The sequence below is a fragment of the Homo sapiens genome, chromosome 12 (assembly GCF_000001405.40).
Source record: "Homo sapiens chromosome 12, GRCh38.p14 Primary Assembly".
NCBI classification, from domain to species: Eukaryota; Metazoa; Chordata; class Mammalia; order Primates; family Hominidae; genus Homo; species Homo sapiens.
The window spans coordinates 61,208,087-61,233,342 of record NC_000012.12 but is presented as its reverse complement, the minus strand read 5'-3'; the positions used below and the strand labels follow the sequence as shown (position 1 = coordinate 61,233,342).

The window sequence follows — 25,256 nt, the reverse complement described above, 5'->3', positions numbered from 1 at the left end:
TGTGGGAGTGATTTATATCCTACTGCTCAAGATCATCGCCAGTCTGATTTTTCACATATGTCTGCCTCCTGAGGGTACATGTTATCACATGGTGCACAGAGTTAGTCACTGCTGAAGACACTGGCATGCTGGGAGCTTGACAAAAAGTGATGTGAGTTTTTGGAAACATTTTTGAGGAAGTATCCAAAGACAGGTACGTAAAACTTTACTGCATTACCTCTTACATAGTATTTTTTTATTACTTCTCTACTAGTTATGCTATTGTGCTGTAAAAAGAAAATACCGAAATTATTATTGTTGCATTAGTTATGGGTTTGAGATTTTGCATGTTCCATTTTTGGAACACTAGGCAAAATGACTACCACTGGGACTAATAATACTTTGTTTTTCCGTTTTAGTCCCAAGATGCCTCAAACTCTAAGTTTACATGAAATAACTGACCTTTTAGAGACAGATGACATCATAGAAGCAAGTGCTAGAGTGATACAACCACCTGAAAATGCTACAACACCTGTTTCTGATGAGGACTCAGAAGATGAAGAAGGTGTAATAATAAATAATCTGCCAGGTTCTTTGTTGTTTGCAACTGCATAACTTATTCAAGATGGCTCGGATGCTGAATCTGACTCAGATGATCCCTCATATGCACATAATGATGACTCTCCTGGCGAAGTTCCATCTACCTCCACTGTGCAGCAACCTCCACCATCGAGGAGGAGGAAAGTGACAAAAGTTGTTTTCAAATGGCAAAACGCTGATCTAACACACACCCCCTAGCAGGTAGAGTTACAGAACCACCAAAAGGTTTCTTTAGCAAAATGAGAACTCCCACAGAACTTCTTGAACTTTTTCTTGATGAAAAGTTCTTTGAATTCATTGTCAAGTTCTCCAACTTATATGCTGGAAGTAAGGGTGTACATCTTGGCTTGACTAGCTCCAAATTCAAATGTTTTCTGGGAATTATTTTTCTGAGTGCCTATGTCTCAGCTCCTAGAAGGCGTATGTTTTGTAAACAAAGAACAGATGCGCATAATATACTGGTGAGTGCTGCCATGAGATGTGACCGCTTTGAAACTATATTTTCTAATTTGGATGTTGCTGACAATGCAAATTTGGATCCAATGGACAAGTTTTCCAAGTTACAACCTCTCATAAGCAAACTCAATGAGAGATGTATGAAATTTGTTCCAAATGAAACATATTTCAGCTTTGATGAATCCACGTTTCCTTATTTTGGTCGTCACAGGTGTGAACAATTTATTGGGGGAAAGCCCATTCAATTTGGCTGTAAGTTTTGGTGTGGTGCCACATGTCTGGGCTGCATTTGCTGGTTTTAGCCATATCAGGGTAAAAACCAAATACTAAACATGAGGAATACGGTGTCGGTGCATCATTCACCCTTCAGTTTAGAGAGGCACTTATAGAGGCACACCCTGGACAATACCATTTTATATTCGATAACTTTTTTACCAGTATTGCACTTCTTGATAAGGTCAGTTCAATGGGACATCAGGCAACAGGTACAGTGAGAAATGATAGCACTGACAAAGCTCCACTGGAATAGGATATAGTGCTAAAGAAAAAAGAAAGAGGCACATTTGATTATCTAATTGATGGCAAAGGCAATATTGCCTGCAGATGGAATGATAACAGTGTTGTCACTTTTGCCTCATCTGGTGCTGGTATCGATCACCTGTGTCTTGTCAGTTACTATTCCTGGAAACAGAAAAAGAAGACCCAAGTTCTGCAGCCAAACATGAACAAAGTGTATAACTGGTTCATGGGAGGCATAGACAGAGCTGATAAAAACTTCGATAAGTATCAGGCAGCAATCCATGGAAAGAACTGGTATTCGAGCTCTCTTGTTCTGTTTCAAATTGGTCTTACAAAATGCTTGGTAATTGCATAAAACGTGATGAGAAGCCAGTGGATTTTCTGGAGTGTCGTTGGCGTGTGGTATGTCATTATCTGCAGACCCATGGTCATCCTCCAGAACCTGGCCAAAAAGGAAGACCTTCTCAGAAGCATAACATTGACTCACATTATGATGGCATAAATCACATGATAGTCAAACAGGGAAAGCAAACGCGATGTGCTGAATGTCATAAGAACACCACTTTTCGATGTGAAAAATGTAATGTTGCTTTACATTTGAAGTGTTCTGTTGAATATCACACTGAGTAGCAGGTGTCATGAGACAAAAAAAAAAATTATATGTTATGTACAAGGTAGCAGTGATTTTGCCTAGCGTTCCATTTTTGGAACACCACATAACTCAACAATGGAACATAATATTTTTTTTCTCTTCAAATTCTTGTCCCTTGAATTTTTCTAGGAAATATATATGAATTTCATGGCCAAATTCAGAAAACTTCAACCTCAGCATAAACGAGTTAAAGACTTAAACCTAAGACCTCAAACTGCAAGAGAGTTTCCTCAAACTACTTTGGGGAAAATCTCCAGGACATTGGTCTGGGAAAAGATTTCTTGAACAATACCCCACAAGCACAAGCAGCCAACACAATAATGAACAAATGGGATCACATCAAGTTAAAAAGCTTCTGAGCAGCACAGGAAACAATTAACAAAGTGAAGAGACAACCTAAAGAATGAGAGAAAATATTTGCAAACTACCCATCTGACAAGGGATTAATAATCAGAATATATAGGGAGCTCAAACAACTCTACAGGAAAAAATCCAATAATCCTATCGAAAATGGGCAAAATGTTTGCATAGAAATTTCTCAAAAGAAGACATACAAATGGCAAAAAGCCATATGAAAGTTGCTCAACATCATTGATAATCAGAGAAATGCTGATCAAAACTAAAATGAGATATGATCTCACCCCAGTTAAAAAGGTTTATATCCAAAAGACAGTCAATAACAAATGCTGGCTAGGATGTGGAGAAAAGGGAACCCATGTACACTGTTGGTGGGAATAAAAATGAGCACAACCACTGTGAAGAACAGTTTGGAAGTTTCTCAGAAAACTCACAATAGAGCAACCATATGATGCTTCAATCCCACTGCTGGGTATACACCCAAAAGGAAGGAAATCAGTACGTCAATGAGATATCTGCACTCCTATGTTTGTTGCAGCACTGTTAATAATAGCTGTGATTTGAAAGCAACCCAAGTGTCCATCAAAAGATTAATAGATAAAGAAAATGTGGTACATATACACAATGGAGTACTATTCAGCCACGAAAATGGATGAGATCAAATTATTCACAGCTACATGAATGGAACTGGAGATCACCATGCTGAGCTTAATAAGCCAGGCACAGAAAGACAAATATTACATGTTCTCAATTAGTAGCGGGATCCAAAAATCAAAACAATTGAATTAATAAACATAGAGAGTAGAAGGACAGCAGAGGGGTGAAAGGGATAATGAGGTGGAGGTAGTGGTGGAAATGGTTAGTAGGTACAAAAAAATAGAAAGAATGAATAACACCTACTATTGATAGCTCAGTAAGGTGACTATACTCAATAATAACTTAATTGTATATTTTGAAATAACGTAATTGGATCGCTTGTAACTTAAAGGTTAAATGCTTCAGGAAATGGTTACCCCATTATTCATGATGTGCTTATTTTGTATTTCTTGTAATTATCAAAACATTTCACATACTTCACATATATATACATTTACTATTTACCCACAAAATTATAAAAATAAAAATGTTAAAAATACTATAATCAAGTTTATCCATGTAAGATGTACATATTGATCAAAAGTGAATAGAAAATCAAGAAAGAAACTGAACACATATATGGTCAACTGATTTTAAGCAATAGGAATTCCCAGGCAATGCACTGGAAAAAAATGTATAGTTTTTTCCACAATTTGTGATGAAACAGTTGAATAAAGAATATATAAACCTTGTCGTTTCCACAAATAAAACAATCAAATCAAAATAGAATGTAAATTAGTATCAGAAAAATATTAAGCTAGGGAATAATTTCTTATGTACAATACAATAAGCATTAACGATAAGAGAAAAATTGACAATTTGGACTTGATACAATTTTAAAATGTTTATTTCTTGCACTCTTGAAACCAAGCTGAAGTTATTGAACATTCTCAGGCACTGATAATTGTTAGGATTTTGCATGTAAAAACTAGCCCCAGCCCTGAGCCAAATTATTTAAACCCTCATATAAACTCTCACCCATTCCCCTTGCAATGGATATATCTGGGTAGGACACCTTTCTTGCAGTGTGTTGTGAGTATGCTGTAGCCCTCTGCATGTAATTTCTCCTAATAAATACGTTGAATTGATTATCATAGCATTTAGTGCTTCTTTCTTTGGAATCCTAACTGGTTCCATCTCTGGATACTTTGGTGTAGTCCCTTGTGGGAACTACCCTGCAGCCACTTTTGCGTCAACTGCAGCTGAGGGTTCAGCTGAGCAGAACAGTTAGACATATATCTATGCCAAGACTAGTAATTCTCTAAGTATTTCCATAAAGGGAAAAAAAGAAAAATTCTTACAAAGAACTGTACTTCAGTAATTATAGCAGCTTTACTTATAACAAATTAAAACTGGCAACCAATAAACAAGTGAATGGATGATGCCAATCAACAAGTGAATGTCAATTAACATGTAAATTTATAAAGGAATATAGGGATGCCCATACAAAGGAATAATACTCAAGAACAAACTACTAATGCATGCCACAACATAGATGAATCTTAGAAGCAGTATAAGTGAAAGAAGCCAGGCACAGTCACCTATGGACTGTATGATTCTATTTATGTGGAATTCTTTTTTTTTCTTTAAGCTTTTTTCTATTTTATTTTTATTTTATTTTACTTTATTTTAGGTTGGGATACATGTGCAGGTTTGTTATATAGGTAAGCCCGTGTCACGGGGGTTTGTTGTACATTTTATTTCATCCCCCGGTACTAAGCCTAGTAGTAAATAGTTATTTTTTCTGATCTCCTCCTTCTCCCAACCTCGATCCCCAAGTAGGCCCCAGTGTCTGTTGCTCCCCTCTATGTGTCCATATGTTCTCATTATTTAGCTCCCACTTATAAGTAAGAACCTGGGGTATTTGGTTTTCTGTTTCTGCATTTGTTTGCTAAGGATGATTCTATTCATATGGAATTCTAGAGGAGGCAAAGCTATAGGGACCAATTTCAGATTGACAGTTGCTAAACCAGATTATGGGAAAATAATTTTACAAGAGGCATGATACATATTTTTATGGCTGATGGAAATGCTCTATATCTTGATTGTGATGATTACATGATAATACACATTTGTCAAAACACATATAATTGTTTCCTTAAACTTGGTGAATTTAAATCCATGTAAATTATGCCTCAAAATGGTGATTAAAAAGAAATATAAGTTCTGGTTCATACATAGTAGGTGGTGAAAATATAAAAATCAGTAGTATTAGTTGTTTCTTGTAAGTACTAATTACGTTAAAGGTGCTTAACAAATAAAAAGAGATAATAAAGTCTATATTTAATTGTTATATTTTTATAAATATATGTAATTATATCCATAAATGTTTGCAATAAGCGAAATTAAATATTCTGAAAATTTATTTTGCACTTGATAAAATGTTGACTATATTGATGATAGATGATTGTATTGTAAAAAATGTCATATTAAAATACTACCTCATCATATGTTGTTTTTTTTTTTTTGAGACGGAGTCTCGCACTGTCACTCAGGCTGGACTGCAGTGGTGTGATCTCGGCTCACTGCAAACTCTGCCCCCGGGTTCACGCCGTTCTCCTGCCTCAGCCTCCCAAGTAGCTGGGACTACAGGTGCCCGCCACCACGCGCCACTAATTTTTTGTATTTTTAGTAGAGACGGGGTTCCATCGTGTTAGCCATGATAGTCTTGATCTCCTGACCTCATGATCCGCCTGCCTCGGCCTCCCAAAGTGCTGGGTTACAGGCGTGAGCCACGGTGCCCGGCCATATGCTGTTATTTTCTAAAGAAGTTATTTACAATCGTGGTCATTATTACATTACATGTAATCAGAGCTATATATTTAACAATTATTGATATAATAAAATTATAAAAGAAAATAAAAATCTTACTTGCATAATACTTTGTGCTATGTGTCATTTAGTTATTTTATTCTATACCATTAACTTGATACACAGAGAAAAGATGTACATATAAAATTGAAGGAAAAACATATCTACATCATATATGTATGTGTGTGTGTGCTTGTTTGCACATACCAGAGAGATAAGGAAGAGTTAAGTTATGACTCTTTTAAGAGTTAATAGTTAACAAATTTATGATCCAGAGTGGTATTTCTAAACATTATCCAGGGTCCAGGAACCAATTTCACTGGAATCATTTGAGGTGCTAGAGAAAGAAATACACCTTAGCCAACCTTCTGCACTGTACCTTTGATCTACTGAATCATTGTCTCTTTGAGTAAAGCAAAATTTTTTTTTAAAGAAAGAAAATTATAATGTCCACTAAAGTTTTGTAATCCTTAATTTATCTTGATATATTGTTTTATTTTCTATGTACCTTATTTTCATGTAACTTTCTATTTATTTTGGCTTTCAATAATTGTTCTGTAGTTTTCATAGGTTTTCACATGTACTATCTAATATTATCTATATAGCAATGAGATAAATAGTAATTTCTTAGCTCTCTTTTATTGCCAGAAAACATAACAACATAAATTTTATTGATGATATTTTTCTGGTTGAGTAGATCATTAAAGCTGGTTGAAAGAAATTGATTCCTGTTAACAGATTCTGAGGAAAGCACAAGCTGTCGTTCCTTACTTCCACTCCAATATCAAAAATAATAGGAAACATTACTTGAGATTGTATTATTTGGAAATAGCTAGATACAACCTGGGGGTTAATTTGTCTTGTATCATTTTTTTTTATAATTCTCCAAATTGATATAGACCCATAATTGTTTGGGTTCCAAAAAACAAATATTTCAATTAGGCCCCCAAATAGAAGCTTTTGACATATATTTTCTTCTGTCAACTTCGGTTTCCTGAGAAAATTGGAATTTATTGTCTGAAAAAATACAATTCCCGGAATCATACTAACACCAATGATTTTTCTGTTATGAATCAACAAGTTATATACACATACCTTTATATGTTCACATACAGAAAATATTTATTTTATTTAAATTATTTTTGTGTGGTAATAATAAAACTCAGTGTTCTGTAGAGCTTTAGGCTTTACAAAAGGGATGCATTCATATATATTAACTAATTTAATTCTTATAATAATTTTATAAAGTGGTATAATTATCACCATTTTAATGAATGTCTGAGGCTCAGAGTTGAAGTGACTTCTTTAAGGCAATGGTGCAGGTAAATAATATGACTAATTATTGAGTCTTCTTTTTAATGATTATATAATTGATTAAACTTTGTTGGCTGCAAGTCTGTCATTACTTTACATCTTATTTTAGAAATTGTATCCAACCTCTGATTTCTATTATTTTCCAAAAAATAGGAGAATGTTTTTGGCTCTCATATAACACAGTCAATTACTATTTTATAACATGGCCAGTGCTTAGTGTTAAAATATCATCTAGAAGACTCTACTAAATATAAAATGGAACTTAAAGAACTTGACTCATTGTTTCCTGATATAATGATTCTAACACGGATTTTCATTCCATTTTTTTTCCATAGTATAGATAAATTCTGAGATTGCACTAATGAGGGAATTTTGAGTTTACAAGATAAATAAATTAGATGTTTATGTCTAATTGCATCCTTAAAATATAAACTAGGTAAACAAATGTATCTGAGTGGAAGAAATTATTTATTAAAATATAAGAATTAAATACCAATAACGAAATAGGATAAACTATTATCATGCTTGGACCTTTAAAAACTTTTTCTTCATTTTAAGTGATATATAGACTTCAGAAAGAAGTCCTGTTGCTATTTATTTGTAAACACATATTCAATATTTCAGACATGTTATTCTGAGCCCATTTTAAGCAGAATTACTAACTGGCAGTATCTATCTGAGAAACACAGTCTGTCTCCATCGATGAGTTTGCTTGCAACTGAAATAAGCCACCTTTTGATGACTAATTTTAAGAATAAAAAATGAAGTATACATAATTCTGTTTCTCTGCTACATGCATGAGTACACACACACACACACAAACACACATACACACAGAAAGAGAGAGGTTAATTTTTAGAGGCTTGACTTGGTAAGAAATTATTCAACTTTTGGATAGTTGACACGTAAATTAATTTTAAAAACCTAGTCCTGTTAACTGCCAGCCAATGTAGAGGACCAGGAAAAAATTCTTATCAGTGGATTTATTACAGAACTTTTCTCCAATTGTGTGATGTGCTTAACTGCACTCATCAATTTGAACACAGGTATAGGAGAGGGAAGAGAAGGGCTTATCCAGGGTTTGGAATTTTTGTCAGTGGATATGGCCTGAGGACAGTAGGTAAAGAAAGTTTAAGATATCTTTAGGATACTGTCTGTCTGAAATAATATAACATTACCTCTAAACTGAAATGGAGAAGGATTTAAGGCTGGAGGGCCTCATGGATTTTTAAATTTAGAGATGATAAATGTGGGGGAAGATCCAATGAGGCTAAGCAACATAGGTATGTAAAGGAAGGATTTTCAGAGGGGCATGCCTCAATTCATAATTTTAGAGATGAAACTGTATGTGTATGTGTGATGTGCCTAAGGATGTAAATGGTTTAGGTGCAGTGCAGAAATTATTCAATGAATTACTCAGTACATAACATTTCATCAAGAGTAAGTGGGGAGAACACACTGAGAGCCAAACGCAAATAGCAAAATGACCTACAAAGAGACTTAGACTCCCACACAATAATAATGGGAGACTTTAACACCCAACTGTCAACATTAGACAGATCAACAAGACAGAAAGTTAACAAGGATACCCAGGAAGTGAACTCAGCTCTGCACCAAGTGGACCTAATAGAAACCTACAGAACTCTCCACCTCAAATCAACAGAATATACATTTTTTTCAGCACCACACCACACCTATTCCAAAATTGACCACATAGTTGGAAGGAAAGCTCTCCTCAGCAAATGTGAAAGAACAGAAATCATAACAAACTGTCTCTCAGACCACAGTGCAATCAAACTAGAACTCAGGATTAAGAAACTCACTCAAAACCACTCAAGTACATGGAAACTGAACAACCTGCTCCTGAATGACTACTGGGTACATAACGAAATGAAGGCAGAAATAAAGATGCTCTTTCAAACTAATGAGAACAAAGACACAACATACCAGAATCTCTGGGACACATTCAAAGCAGTGTGTAGAGGGAAATTTATTGCACTAAATGCCTACAAGAGAAAGCAGGAAAGATGCAAAATTGACACCCTAACATCACAATTAAAAGAACTAGAAAAGCAAGAGCAAACACATTCAAAAGCTAGCAGAAGGCAAGAAATAACTAAAATCAGAGCAGAACTGAAGGAAACAGAGACACAAAAAACCCTTCAAACAATTAATGAATCCAGGAGCTGGTTTTTTGAAAGGATCAACAAAATCGATAGACCGCTAGCAAGACTAATAAAAAAAGAGAGAAGAATCGAATAGACACAATAAAAAATGATAAAGGGGATATCACCACTGATCCCACAGAAATACAAACTACCATCAGAGAATACTACAAACACCTCTACGCAAATAAACTAGAAAATCTAGAAGAAATGGATAAGTTCCTCGACACATACACTCTCCAAAGACTAAACAAGGAAGAAGTTGAATCTCTGAATAGACCAATAACAGGATCTGAAATTGAGGCAATCATCAATAGCTTGCCAACCAAAAAGAGTCCAGGACCAGATGGATTCACAGCTGAATTCTACCAGAGGTACAAGGAGGAACTGGTACCATTCCTTCTGAAACCATTCCAATCAATAGAAAAAGAGGGCATCCTCCCTAACTCATTTTAGGAGGCCAGCATCATCCTGATACCAAAGCCGGGCAGAGACACAACCAAAAAAGACAATTTTAGACCAATATCCTTGATGAACATTGATGCAAAAATCCTCAATAAAATACTGGCAAATCGAATCCAGCAGCACATCAAAAAGCTTATCCACCATGATCAAGTGGGCTTCATCCCTGGGATGCAAGGCTGGTTCAATATACGCAAATCAATAAATGTAATCCAGCATATAAATAGAATCAAAGACAAAAACCACATGATTATCTCAATAGATGCCGAAAAGGCCTTTGACAAAATTCAACAACCCTTCATGCTAAAAACTCTCAATAAATTAGGTATTGATGAAACATATCTCAAAATAATAGGAGCCATCTATGACACACCCACAGCCAATATCATACTGAATGGGCAAAAACTGGAAGCATTCCCTTTGAAAACTGGCACAAGACAGGGATGCCCTCTCTCACCACTCCTACTCAACATAGTGTTGGAAGTTCTGGCCAGGGCAATTAGTCAGGAGAAGGAAATAAAGGGTATTCAATTAGGAAAAGAGGAAGTCAAATTGTCCCTGTTTGCAGACGACATGATTGTATATCTAGAAAACCCCATTGTCTCAACCCAAAATCTCCTTAAGCTGATAAGCAACTTCAGCAAAGTCTCAGGATACAAAATCAATGTACAAAAATCACAAGCATTCTTATACACCAATAACAGACAGAGACCCAAATCATGAGTGAACTCCCATTCACAATTGCTTCAAAGAAAATAAAATACTTAGGAATCCAACTTAGAAGGGACGTGAAGGACCTCTTCAAGGAGAACTACAAACCACTGCTCAATGAAATAAAAGAGGATACAAACAAATGGAAGAACATTCCATGCTCATGGGTAGGAAGAATCAATATCGTGAAAATGGCCATACTGCCCAAGGTAATTTATAGATTCAATGCCATCCCCAACAAGCTACCAATGACTTTCTTCACAGAATTGGAAAAAACTACTTTCAAGTTCATATGGAACCAAAAAAGAGCCCGCATCGCCAAGTCAATCCTAAGCCAAAAGAACAAAGCTGGAGGCATCACACTACCTGACTTCAAACTATACTACAAGGCTACAGTCACCAAAACAGCATGGTACTGGTACCAAAACAGAGATATAGATCAATGGAACAGAACAGAGCCCTCAGAAATAATGCTGCGTATCTACAACTATGTGATCTTTGACAAACCTGAGAAAAACAAGCGATGGGGAAAGGATTCCCTATTTAATAAATGGTGCCTGGAAAACTGGCTAGCCATGTGTAGAAAGCTGAAACTGGATCCCTTCCTTACACCTTATACAAAAATTAATTCAAGATGGATTAAAGACTTAAACGTTAGACCTAAAACCATAAAAGCCCTAGAAGAAAACCTAGGCATTACCATTCAGGACATAGGCATGGGCAAGGACTTCATGTCTAGAACACCAAAGCAATGGCAACAAAAGCCAAAAGTGACAAATGGGATCTAATTAAACTAAAGAGCTTCTGCACAGCAAAAGAAACTACCATCAGAGTGAACAGACAACCTACAGAATGGGAGAAAATTTTTGCAACCTACTCATCTGACAAAGGGCTAATATCCAGAATCTACAATGAACTCAAACAAATGTACAAGAAAAAAACAAACAACCCCATCGAAAAGTGGGCAAAGTATATGAACAGACACTTCTCAAAAGAAGACATTTATGCAGCCAAAAGACACATGAAAAAATGCTCACCATCACTGGCCATCAGAGAAATGCAAATCAAAACCACAATGAGATACCATCTCACACCAGTTAGAATGGCAATCATTAAAAAGTCAGGAAACAACAGGTGCTGGAGAGGATGTGGAGAAACAGGAACACTTTTACACTGTTGGTGGGACGTTAAACTAGTTCAACCATTGTGGAAGTCGGTGTGGCGATTCCTCAGGGATCTAGAACTAGAAATACCATTTGACCCAGCCATCCCAATACTGGGTATATACCCAAAGGTCTATAAATCATGCTGCTACAAAGACACATGCACACATATATTTATTGTGGCACTATTCACAATAGCAAAGACTTGGAACCAAGCCAAATGTCCAACAATGATAGACTGGATTAAGAAAATGTGGCACATATACACCATGGAATACTATGCAGCCATAAAAAATGATGAGTTCATGTCCTTTGTAGGGACATGGATGAAATTGGAAATCATCATTCTCAGTAAACTATTGTGAGGACAAAAAACCAAACACCACATGTTCTCACTCATAGATGGGAATTGAACAATGAGAACACATGGACACAGGAAGGGGAACATCACACTCTGAGGACTGTTGTGGGGTGAGGGGTGGGGGAGGGATAGCATTAGGAGATATACCTAATGCTAAATGACGAGTTAATGGGTGCAGCACAGCAGCATGGCACATGTATACATATGTAACTAACCAGCACATTGTGCACATGTACCCTAAAACTTAAAGTATAATAATAATAAAATATAAAAAAGAAACAAAAATAAATAAATAAAAAGTGCCGCAAAAAAAAAAAAGACATAACAATGAGAAGTACTAGTTAGATGGTGATAGACACAAGGGATAAAAGCCTCTGAAAGGTAGAGATTTTCACCAGAAGCTGAGGGAGTAAAAAAATTAGAAATGGCATTAGGGACATTGATTGAGAGCGTGGATTCCAACTCATGATATATCTGCAGATGGGTTTGAGAAAATAAATACATTATAGTTGAGAAAGGAATTGGGGAAAGAGAGTTTACACTAAAAGTGAAGAAGTGAAGTAATGCTTACTGAAATGGTTATGGTCTGTGGGCAGATGACTTATTCCTGACTCACGTTCCCATAGAGAGAGTCATTTTTCAAAATAACAATTCTGGTCTCTCTACCCATCTTATTTACTCCTTCCTAGGTAGTGGACTGACTTCACTGAGTGCTGAGGTTGGAAATGAGCCGGGCATGCGTGGCTTGGGCAGACCCTCCAGACCTCTTGTTTGAGGGATTTTCCTCTGTGCACAGAAGATGTGCCATGGTCTCCTTTGTTCCTCTGTGTAGTAAGTTTCAGGGAACAGGTCCTTGGTCAGAAACATGCGGTTGTCAAGCTCAATGTGTGATTCGAAGGTGTATGGTTAATTCTGAGGTGAAATGTTAGCAAGCTCTCTTGCCTGAATATCTAAGCTCCATATTCTCCAAACTTGCTCTTATAAACCTAATATTAGGATCTCCAGTTAAGACCCATATTCTCCAAACTTGCTCTTATAGACCTAATATTGGGACTTTTTTATTTTAATACAAATTTAGGGATGAGGAGAGCACTATTTTTGTTCTCAAATTCCAAGAACAAAAGGGTAATGAAAAACTAAAACTAAAACAAAGTAGCAAAGAACAAACCAACCAATATGCACCTTAGGAAGGATGAGAGAAGAGTGAGTTTGACTTCAGGAAAATGCCACCAAGAGAATAATCAGCATAAAATCCTAGAACATAGTGGCCACGTGGACCTAACAGAATTCAGTGGAGATTTGGAAGATTTAGGCAGCAACTTGGCTGAGGAGTCAGGTTTGTCTTTGCTTCTGGTCTGCAGTGGTGGTAATATTTGCCAGTGAACAGAGCCTCTGCAAACTCTAAGTGAGAGTGGGCAGGGAGGAGCAACTGATCATAAAGCATATGGCTCTCCGCATGGTAGAGTCAGGTGGCAGAAAGGGATCCTCAGCTTTTAAAGGTATGATATATGTTAATATTCCATGTTTTGGTCTAGTCAGCATTCTGAGTTAAGTCAGTATTCCTTAGGGACCAGGATGGCATCTTTAGAATGAAGTCCGAACTATTTAATACAATCTACAAACCTGTGTACTTTGGCTTCAGCTTTTCCTCTTCCTCTCTGCTACCCAACCACAATCTCTAACCCAACCAATTCCTTTTTCATTTACCAAAACCCATATGAAAGACAATTTTTACCTGTCAGAAGCTTCTCCACTAGTTGCTGCACAGATAGGAGGACAACATCAAGCTGGCCCATTCATTTTAAGTATGCTACCTCTCTGTCACTGAAGACTTGCATTTTAGAAAGTGAGAAAGACAAAAATTATATTTAAAGGTATCCCAGCAAATTTTGAGATTTTATGCATTCATTTTCTTGCTTATTCTGTTACCTCTGCCTTAAAAATCAGTTATCTTTTCAATCATATCCCTCTCACTTATTTATTCAAAAAATATTTATTAAGCACCTATTATGTGCCAAGATTCCTAAAAGATGCTGAAAATATAGCAGTGAATAAGCATCCATTCTAGTGCAAACATGTGCATAAGAATCACCCTGGTGCTTTAAAAGCGCACATTCCTGGGCTCTATCCTGGATGCATAGAATGAAAATATCTATGGATGAGGTTGAAAAAATTGGACTTAAAGAAAGTTTCTAAGTGATTTAGATTACCCCACTGTGTAATAATCACTAAGCCAATGTAAAAGACAAACTGACAATTAAAATTCACTGGCATGGAATAGCATAAGGATGAATTTTATGCACCAGGGTAGATTATAGGAGAGGCATTTTCCAGATGAAATTATATCTAAAATGACATATGAAGGATAAGTAGGACTTAATCAGATACAGTGGGTAGGAGAAAGGAGAAAATATTCTAAGCAGAATTAAATGGATAGACAAAGTCTTAGTGAGGAGAAAAAGCATGGTCACCTGGATTTGATTCTGAAAACACTTCAGCATAGACAAGGTGCATATTTGTGGGAGGCAGGAGAAGAGTGGGACAGGAATAACAAGAAATAAAACTGGATAATAAGAAAATAGCCAGGTCATAAAGGGGCTTTGTGAAGCATCTTAAAGAGTTTGTATCTCATTCTTAGAAAAAACAGGAAGACATATAAGTGCTTTAATTGGGGAAGGATGTGAAAGCACTGCATGTTAAAAATATTGCATTATGGAAGTTAAGACTCAAAGCTTTTAACCAGGCAGGGGGACTGTTAATGGAACTTGGGATAGACGTTCTCCAAGTAAAGCATATGCCACCTAGGGATAAACAAGACCAATACCACCTGTGTAGAAAGACAGTATTTGAACTTTCTATTTATTTGTAACTTCTTGTTTTGTACTTTCTGTTGCACTGTTTTCTGATTGTCAAGTATATGGTTGCCCAGAGTTTCTTGCATAATTTAGAAACAAAATAAATATACACATTTTGGAAATTGTTGCTGAATGTTTCTTACTGATATATATGCATGATCAATAAAAGCTTGGTGTACACTGTTCTAGGCAAGAGGTGATATCAACCTGAAATAAAAGCAGAAGAAAGAGAAATATAGATGAACTTGAGATGTTTACAAAGTACAATTGGTAAGATATATCAATTCATTGTGAGCATGAATTAAGGAAGAAGGAAGAGTCAAGGATAAATATTGATACCTGGTTTACACAGCTGAGTGAACGATAAAAGGTAATGTTTTCTGACATGAAAAAGCATAAACCAGAAGTAGAAAAACATTCGAAATATGTGTCTCTGCAAGAAAATGTAGAAAAATGAAGGTTAGAGCTGCTGGGATAAAATGGTTAAGCCCATTGAGTTTTGTTTTGTGATATATTGATATATCCAGCATTAAAGGTTTCAAAATGTTTTCATAAGAAACTCAAGGCAGTTTGGGGATTTATTCCAGCCTATTTACTAAGGAATTCTGTTATGCTTTGAATGATGAATAATTGGAGTCTTGTGGGAATAGAGTCACAATGCACCACCCCACAAACTCGGTGTTTCCCTTGAATATAATGAATCTAAGTTTTCATATAAAATGACACATGCCAATTACTTTTAAAAGTGTATGTGAAGACTGGGAATAAAACTATTATATGTTGTTAGTTTTAAAGGCATATAGTAAGCAATAATAAAAACATAAGGGAATATGAATATATTTATGTAATATATACATACATATTAAAATAATTTCTTAACCTATTATTTTTCCTTACTTCAGATACTGAAGATTATGCATCTAACATATAAGAAAATTATTTACTCCAAACCAACACATTGTAGAGTTGTGGATCAGCTTTCCAATTTTCTTTACCTGCCCACAGCATGATTTCTTTTAGGCTCAGAGCTGCAGTAATTTGCATGCTGAATTAAACCACTTCATCACTTTGACTTTCTGTCATAGGATCATAGCTGGAGAGGACTGAAAAAAGTGGACAGTGCAGCTGGGAGCCAGAGGCATGTGTTATTGCTTGCATTGAGTTGTGATAGTCTCTAGTGAATCATGAAATTATAGAATGTTAGCACAAGGAGCACCTTAGCAGTCATCTAGGCCAACTTTTTTCTTTACATAAAGATAATCTGCATTCAGAAAGGGTAAGCAACTTATTTAGGTTCATATAATTTCTAGTGTCTATCTTTTTTCTCTTCTTTCTCTTTTTGTCTTCACACACCTATTTGATTCTTTAGTTTTCTGTTATATCTTTTGAGAAAATAAGTCAATTTTATAGCAATTATTCACTTATTTGACAAACATATGTTGACATCCTGTGAAGTACAATGTATTTGGGGGGCAACTATGAAAGATATTACACTATACTGTTCATAGATAGCTAATAGTTCAGTAGGAGAGGCAAGATAGTGTAAATAACGACAATTCAAAAGCATGTGTGAAATGGGCTGTAATGAAAGGACTTGGAGGTGCTAAAGGAAATCAGTGATTATGTTACGCTTAGAAAATCATACAGGGCATCACTGAAAAAAGGGACCTTTGAGTGGATCTCAGAGAATGGGTAGAATGTCAGTAGGCATGTGAGGAGGAAAAATAAATGTTACGAATAAAGATAAACAGGTGGAAAAAGTAATGGCATGTTTGAGGAATTGTTGGAACACTTTCTGGATCATGTGGGAGTAATGGAATGTGAAACTGGAAAAGACTGACTGGGGCAGATTTTTGGGAAGACTTCACTGCCAGACGGAGGGAGAAATTGTGTGTGAATGATTATGATGTATGAAAGTGATATTGATCTTTTAATTTCAAAGGTAGTGATATTTGGGACAGAGATGCCAGTTGGCTAACTATGGAAATTTTGAGAAAAAAAATGGCTCTCGATTCAGGATGGTGGCCAAAAACTCAGCACAGAAAAAGGAAATATGATGAAGACCTAGTTGACAGGAATTGAGGACTTATATTCAAACAAAAAGGTGGAAAGTCTTCCGTATTACTCTAAAATTTTGATATGGAAAGTGGAGAAATAGATGTAAATTTGACAGAGGAGAAGGAGGTGTTTCAAATAATTGAATTAGTTCTAGACTGGTTGAGTTTGAAAAGTAGATGATCATTCACGTGTTATTCTTATTGTATTTATTTTTAATTGACAAATAATAATTTTATACTTGAGTACAATGTGATATTATGATACATGTATACATTATGGAATAATGAAATCAGGCTAATGAACATATATATCACCTTACATATTTGCCATTTCTTTGTGGTAAGAACATTTAAAATCTACTCTTTTAGCAATTTTGAAGTATGTAATACATCATTATTAACTCAAGTTACCATGCTGTTCAATAGATCACTTGTTCTGTCTCTTCTTCTATCTAACTGAAATTTTGTACCGTTTGACTAATACCTCCCTTTTCCCAATAACACCCTCAACTCCCCAACCTTTCTCTGACATCAGCAACTGTTGAACTATAAGTGAGCATTAATCAGTTATTTGGTTAAGGCAGAAGTGATGGTTATGTTTTTGTCCTATGTGGTACAAGCAGGCTTACTGACACACTTAAGAACCAAAAATCAGAGAAAAAGCTTAGAGTTGTTCTGGTAATCTCACACCTCAAAGATTACTTCAAACTACCCTTTAAAGTGTATTTATCTGTAATAAGCATTTATTCAATAACAAACATATATTCAGCATATACTATGTGCCAGATACTGTTCTAAGTGCCAGGGCTACAGTAGCGTAAAAGACACAGTAAATCTCTACACTTCTCTTTGTTTAGCAGTTGCAAAGGTTAACGTAATTTAATGTGAAGCAGTAAAATGTGTTAGGGAGAAAACTAAAATTGATTTAGTAAATGGAGGGGGAAGATATTTTCACTTCAGTAGAACACTGCATTTATACATATGTATGTGTCTTTCAGTATGGGTTCTAGATGACAAACATAGTAAAAAATAAGAAATCCATCAATTCTGATTGAGATTCAGGTATTTTGATCTAACTGAGAAAGGATGTAAGGTCAGGACCTTCTTTAAATTCCTCTAATCAAACTATAGAGGTGACATTAGTTTTATCCTCACTTGACAGGTATGGTCACGTGCTGAGTATTATAAATTCAAGTACTCTAGCATTAGAAATACATTTAAGATTCTTTACTCTTCTTCTTCTTTTTTTTTTCATTTGAGACAGAGTCTTACTCTGTTGACCGGGCTGGAGTGCAGTGGCGTGATCTCGGCTCACCGCGGGCTCTGTCTCCCAGGTTCAAGCGATTCTCCTGCCTCAGCCTCCCGAATAGCTGAGATTACAGGAGTGTGCCACCACGCCCAGCTAATTTTTGTATTTTCAGTAGAGACGGGGTTTCACTATGTTGGACAGGCTGATCTGGAGCTCCTGAGCTCAAGTGATCTGCCTGCCTCAGCGTCCCAAAGTGCTGGAATTAGAGGCATGAGCCACTGTGCCCTGCCTTGACCATTTTCTGTAAACAAACAATGCAATCAAAATTTTCTAGGAAGTGATTTATTTTGTCTTTTAGTGCTCTATCTAATGCCTCTAATGTATTATTTATTCTCCTTTTTCGTTTGCTAATTACTAATTGAGACTCATTATTTTAAAATAGGACTAAGTACTTTTACTTTCTTAACAGAAGTACATATGTAAACAGGATAATATAGGTTATTTGGCATAGGTAGGATGATTTAATGATTTCTTTATTATGATCAACAAGACAGTCACAGTGCTATCATTTTTATTATAAGCACAATCATTCTTATCTGCCAATAGTAATTTTTTTCTAGCATTGATGTGCTTTATTGAGAGATGTGTATCCTTTCAGCTAGTTGCTTTGAAAAATGTAGGCATTTAATGGACAAGTAAGCTGGTTCGAATATAGGGGGTTTGCCTGTGGTTACTAAATATAAAACAGGTCTATATAAAAATGGATTTTTTTTAAGAGATGAGGTCTCACTCTGTTGCCCAGGCTGGAGTGCAGTGGCTCAATCATAGCTCACTTCAGCTTTGAACACCTAGGTTCAAGCATCCTCCTTTCTCAGCCTCCCGAGTAACTGGGATTACAGGCAGGCAAAACCACACTCAGCTGATTTAAAAAAAAATAAATAAGAGAGAGGGTCTTGCTATGTTGCCCAGGCTGGTCTCAAACTGGCCTCAAGTGATTATCCTGCCTTGGCCTCCTGAGTAGCTGAAATTATAGGCTTGAGACACTGCACCTGGATAAGCTAATATTTTTTATTTCAGAGAAATCCCTTTGCCCCTTCTGCCATGTGAAAATACAGAGAGGAGACACCTGGCTAGGATCCAGGAACTGGGACCTTATCAGACACTGAATCAGCAGGTGCTATGATCTTGGACTTCTCAGGTTGCAGAACTGTGAGACAAAAATTTCTATTGTTTATAAGCGGCCTAGGCTATGTTATTTTGTTATAGCAGCCCGAACGGACCAAGATAGACAGGTTATAAGGAAGGAAATGAAATATTTAGTTAGGTATAAAGGTACAGGCAAAAAAAAAAAAAAATAACATAAAAAGTCAGGAAGAGTTAAAGGAGTAGTTCCTAACCATTCTAGCTTATGTCTGCCATGTATACGAGAAGGCAATGATAGCTTGGACAATACACTTTCTTTACTAATGCAATTACTGTAGGTCTTAAATGTAAAGCCATACTCGGGGGACCGCAGCTACATGGGTGTCAGCAAAAAGAATGCAGTTACCCTTTCACCTCATATTGTTAAGCTCAATAAAATAAAACTAAAGTCGAGGGAGGATGATAGGATTATTACAGCTTCATCACTCCTCTCAGCCCATCTTTTACAAATTTGACCTTTGCTACACTTCATTATTCCAAAATTGATAGGTTGTGATCATAGACTAAAATAATCTTGACCATTTGAGGGTTACCCTGTTGCTTAAACAAACAACTGTATGTGTTCCATTTTTTAAATGTTTTCTTCCTTCTGGGCCAATGTCTTATGAAATTTTGTCCTTGGCATTAATTTCCTCTCTCTGTAGTTGTAAAAGTAAATTCTTTAGAATGGACTTTAGTGAACTAATTCTATGCTTTTAATCTACTTAACCTAGGAATTTTCAGAGACAATTGGAATAAAGTCGTATGAATAATAATGATGGGGATTATTAATGTACTTCATCCCAAATGGGGAAATAATACCAATACTACACTTAAACAACTAAATTTATATTTTGCCTTTCTGATTTCTTAAGTTCTGTGAAAAACATTTTATTTAGAAAATTTTATCATGTGTTATAAAAGCTCAGCCTATTGTTCAGGAAAAAAGACGTAACCACTGATAGGGAAAAATAAATATTAATTTAATTTTGATTTGCTTTGTGAGAAATAAGGTCTCAGTGTAATCACAATTAACACTGGATTTATCAGGGAAATAATAGAAACTAATGAGTAACATTAACTTATAGCAAAGTTGATTAATATTTTCATTAATAGTATTTAATTATTGAAGAGACTTCAATCAAGTCACCTAGCCTTTCTTTACCTAATGTATAAGTAAAATTTTGCCTCCATATGTAAACTTGAATTTAAACTGTGGCACCAGGTGATTCACGCTGTAGGTGTGCTAATATTTTGTGTTTTCAAGGAAAACTAACTGCTAAAATGCTGGCATATCGTATTCTGTTACTCCATTCTTCTCCTTGCCCTTAAAATCAGGCCAACTTTCTCTGACTCTTCTTCTGTCTGGTTTATATAAAGCAATATAAAAATATCCTTTATGAAGTAACTTGGGTCTTTCTCATTCCTTTTTGACTAACTGTATTCCCCTTCTTCACACATATTCTCTTAAACCTACTTCTCTCTTGCTTGTTCTCAAACTTGTACCATTTTCATTGCAGGCAACCTCCTAACTTTGTAGTTATTGGCAGCCTTGAAATGAATTTGACTTTGTTCATTATTTTGGTTTTAAGTGTCAATCATTTATTTAGTTTGGTTCCCTGGAAGTTCATTTTTGCTCATACTCATTCCTACTTTCTGTTTCTGACACTAGCTCCCTCATCCCTACCCCAAACACAAAGCAATGAGGAGAGGAGGATGTACTTGTTGGCAAAACATCACTTCCAGGTTGAAGTCTGAAGCAAAAGTAAACAAACAAAAACCTATTTTTGCAGTGTCATATACAATCCAATAGGGTCATCACTCAGAAAGAATAATATTTTCCAATAACGTACCTTTTTCCTCCAGCTGCCAGATATGCCCCAATGCTGTAATCTAGGGATGGAAGGTGGATATTTTTCCCACTGATGCTTGTTCCATGTTTATGTCAGAGAGATAGATAAAATCTCTAACTTTGAAAAAGTATTCATCCATCTTTCTTTCTTAATCTGCCACACTCTGTCCTACCAGTCTATTTTATTAAAATATATAAAAACAACTCTATAAATAAGTAAAGCACCCTCACAACTCAAAAATTCTACTTTTAAAAAATCAGGAAGGAATCTACAACAAGGTCTTACAGAAACCAGCTCCACAACAACTTGGATCAAGGACATATAGGATATATAGGTTGAGTCAATACATCTCTGTTTAGAAATGTACAAACAGCGGGAAAAATTATAATGTCTTAGAAAATACCATAATACCCAGAACATGGGAACAACTTTAGGGAATTGAAAAAATATTCATTTGATCTAAATTCCTAAAAAAAAAAAAAAAGTTTTAGATTTGTGTTCTGAACAAAACTAAAGATATTGCTTAAATGAGATTAAAGTGCACATACAAAATATTAAATATTTTGAAATCAGAAAAAAATTTCAAATAAAACAAAGAATAAGGTACCGATTAAAATCACAATGTCAGCATGAGGTAGAAGTTTAAATGGCACAGAAAATCATATTGCAGTAGTAAGAGATATATGGAAAAATTGTCTACAAATTTAGATAAAAGAATAAAGTAATGTTTACAGTGAAAGAAAAGATGACTGACATGAAGAACAGACTAGGAATAAATTAAGAAGAAATGATAATTAAGAAATAACAGTAGAAACCATTACTGATATAAAACAGCAACAAAAACAAAAAATAAAAAGCATCATATGAAAATATAGAACCTGAATCATGTTTCTAAAAACCTATACTAAATAAATCCATATGAAAATAAATGTTTCAGCAAGGATTTTCAAATTCTGCAGGTATAGAAAAAGGAATTCCACAATAATCTATGGAATTAAAAGGGATGTTATACAAAAAAGAAAAGAATTTGGATTGCTCTTCAACTTTCTCTACATATACCTGAATGGTATAATAAAATCATTCTTATAGAGCAACAAAGGAAAAAAAAGTGACATTTAGAATTTTGTATTCATACTACTTGACATAGGTATGTGAAGGCAACAAAACGTTATACTTGAGGCAGACTATATAACTCTCAAAATGTTCTTCAAGAAAATTCTACTTGAAATCTTAGGCTAAAAATAAATTTTGAATCAAAACAATATCAAACAGATAAGGAATTTTCCCTACAAATGAGGGACACTGGAAACAGATTCTGCTAAACTTTAAAGATACACATTCCAGGAATTGTTCTGATTCTCTTTTAATTTTTGTCATGTTATATTTCTCTCATATTTTGGGAATTGCAGCAGTGGGATTTAATGAGCAAGTCCGAACAGTAGAAATGTATTTTTCACTCATACTGGACAACTTGTCAAGCTGCTGTGGTAGTTAGAACCAGAAACAGATCAGGTCAGAAAGTTTCTATCAGTTGAATTCACAGTTAGAAGGGGAAGAAACAGGACTACGGGACTCATACACTGGGTTAGAGGCAGAATTAGGCAGAGGAAGTTCAGGATCCTAGAGAGCTTACTGTTAAGAATACTTGCTTAAATGAAGTCTAGTTTATATTGAGGCAAAAAAAAAACTTCAGTGTTTTCATCTCAGTAATAGGTTCTGATTCTTTGAACATTTAATTGTTTTTAAAAACATGAACCTGATGAGAATTAGATTTTGCTTAAGTGTCCTTTCTATGTACCTAAAGGCTTTTATATAAAGCCTTATCTAAGGTGGATAGAAAGGATACCTAAGCAATATAAATAAGAATAAATATGTGCTATGCATCAATCAGTCTAGTAGCAAAATAGAAACTCCATGATGTTTTTCAATACAGATAATTTACTTTAGGGAGCTGCGGCATTCGTGTTGCAAGACTGAGAAGGCAAAATGGAAATTTGAAGTAACAAAGAAATAATAACTATGAGAAGGAGCTACAACTTCTAGGGCTGAAGAATCAAAAGGGAAAGGTGGGTGCTTTGCAGATGATGCTTCTTGTGAAGCTGCCACTCAGGCTTTTAAGGAGGGCATGTCGTCCAGTTTCTGCTGGTACCATGAAGGAGTGACCCCACAGAGCTGGAGCTCACACTTCTGAGAAGAGGAGCCTGCTTAGCAGCTGCTGATACCTCTGAGAAATGCTATGAAGCTAGCTCTGATAGTGCCAAAATAAGCTGGAGAGTGGACCAAGAGTGAAAGGCCATTTCCTAGGACAGCTAGCCACCAAAATGGGAGGTAACTGTTTCCTTCTTCCTTCATCTACCTTCCAAACTTCCTATAGTGTTACTTGCTGGCAGAATCTATCTAGAAGGTAGCTGAGACAGGAGAAATGTAATTTGCAGTGTACCGGTCATAGCATCACTAAGGTATAGAAAAGTAGATCTGGAGTTGACAGACAATAGCTTAATAACTGATACAGCTCCTACCCGCAAAAGGTTTGCCATTTATAAGAAAATATAGTTACTGAAATAGAGGTGTTCAGGATATTATATTACTTGAAACAACAAGGCAGTTGGGAATTTAACTCATATAACTTACACATTGTGCAAAGTTTTGCTATTCCTAATATATAAAAAATATTAATTTTGGAGAAGCCAATATGGCTGAATAGGAACAGCTCGGGTCTACAGCTCCCAGCGTGAGCAACGCAGAAGATGGGTGATCTCTGTAGGCTCCACCTCTGGGGGCAGGGCGCAGACAAACAAAAAGACAGCAGTAACGTCTGCAGACTTAAATGTCCCTCTCTGACAGCTTTGAAGAGAGTAGCGGTTCTCCCAGCATGCAGCTTGATATCTGAGAGTGGGCAGACTGTCTCCTCAAGTGGGTCCCTGACCCCCGAGTAGCCTAACTGGGAGCACCCCTCAGTAGGGGCGGACTGACACCTCACACAGCCGGGTACTCCTCTGAGACAAAACTTCCAGAGGAACGATCGGCCAGCAGCATTTGTGGTTCACCAATATCCGCTGTTCTGCAGCTGCTGCTGCTGATACCCAGGAAAACAGGGTCTGGAGTGGACATCTAGCAAACTCCAACAGACCTGCAGCTGAGGGTCCTGTCTGTTAGAAGGAAAACTAACAAAGAGAAAGGATATCCGCACCAAAAACCCATCTGTACATCACTATCATCAAAGACCAAAGGTAGATAAAACCACAAAGATGGGGAAAAAACAGAGCAGAAAAACTGGAAACTCTAAAAATCAGAGTGCCTCTCCTCCTCCAAAGGAATGCAGCTCCTCACCAGCAACGGAACAAAGCTGGATGGAGAATGACTGACGAGTTGAGAGAAGAAGGCTTCAGACTATCCAACTACAGTAGGAAATTCGAGCTACAGGAGGAAATTTGAACCAATGGCAAAAAAGTTAAAAGCTTTGAAAAAAAATTAGATGAATGGATAACTAGAATAACCAATGCATAGAAGTCCTTAAAGGACCTGATGGAGCTGAAAACCACAGCACGAGAACTATGTGATGAATGCCACAAAGATACTCCTCGAGAAGAACAACTCCAAGACACATAATTGTCAGATTCACCAAAGTTGAAATGAAGGAAAAATGTTAAGGGTAGCCAGAGAAAAAGGTCGGGTTACCCACAAAGGGAAGCCCATCAGACTAACAGCTGATCTCTCGGCAGAAACTCTACAAGCCAGAAGAGAGTGGGGGCCAATATTCAACATTCTTAAAGAAAAGAATTTTCAACCCAGAATTTCATATCCAGCCAAACTAAGCTTCATAAGTGAAGGAGAAATAAAATCCTTTACAGACAAGCAAATGCTGAGAGATTTT

The 25,256-nt window shown here is 36.1% G+C and overlaps 1 pseudogene; it reads left to right on the top strand.

The window, feature by feature from the left end:
- On the top strand, positions 391–2,400 carry PGBD3P1 (piggyBac transposable element derived 3 pseudogene 1; annotated as a pseudogene).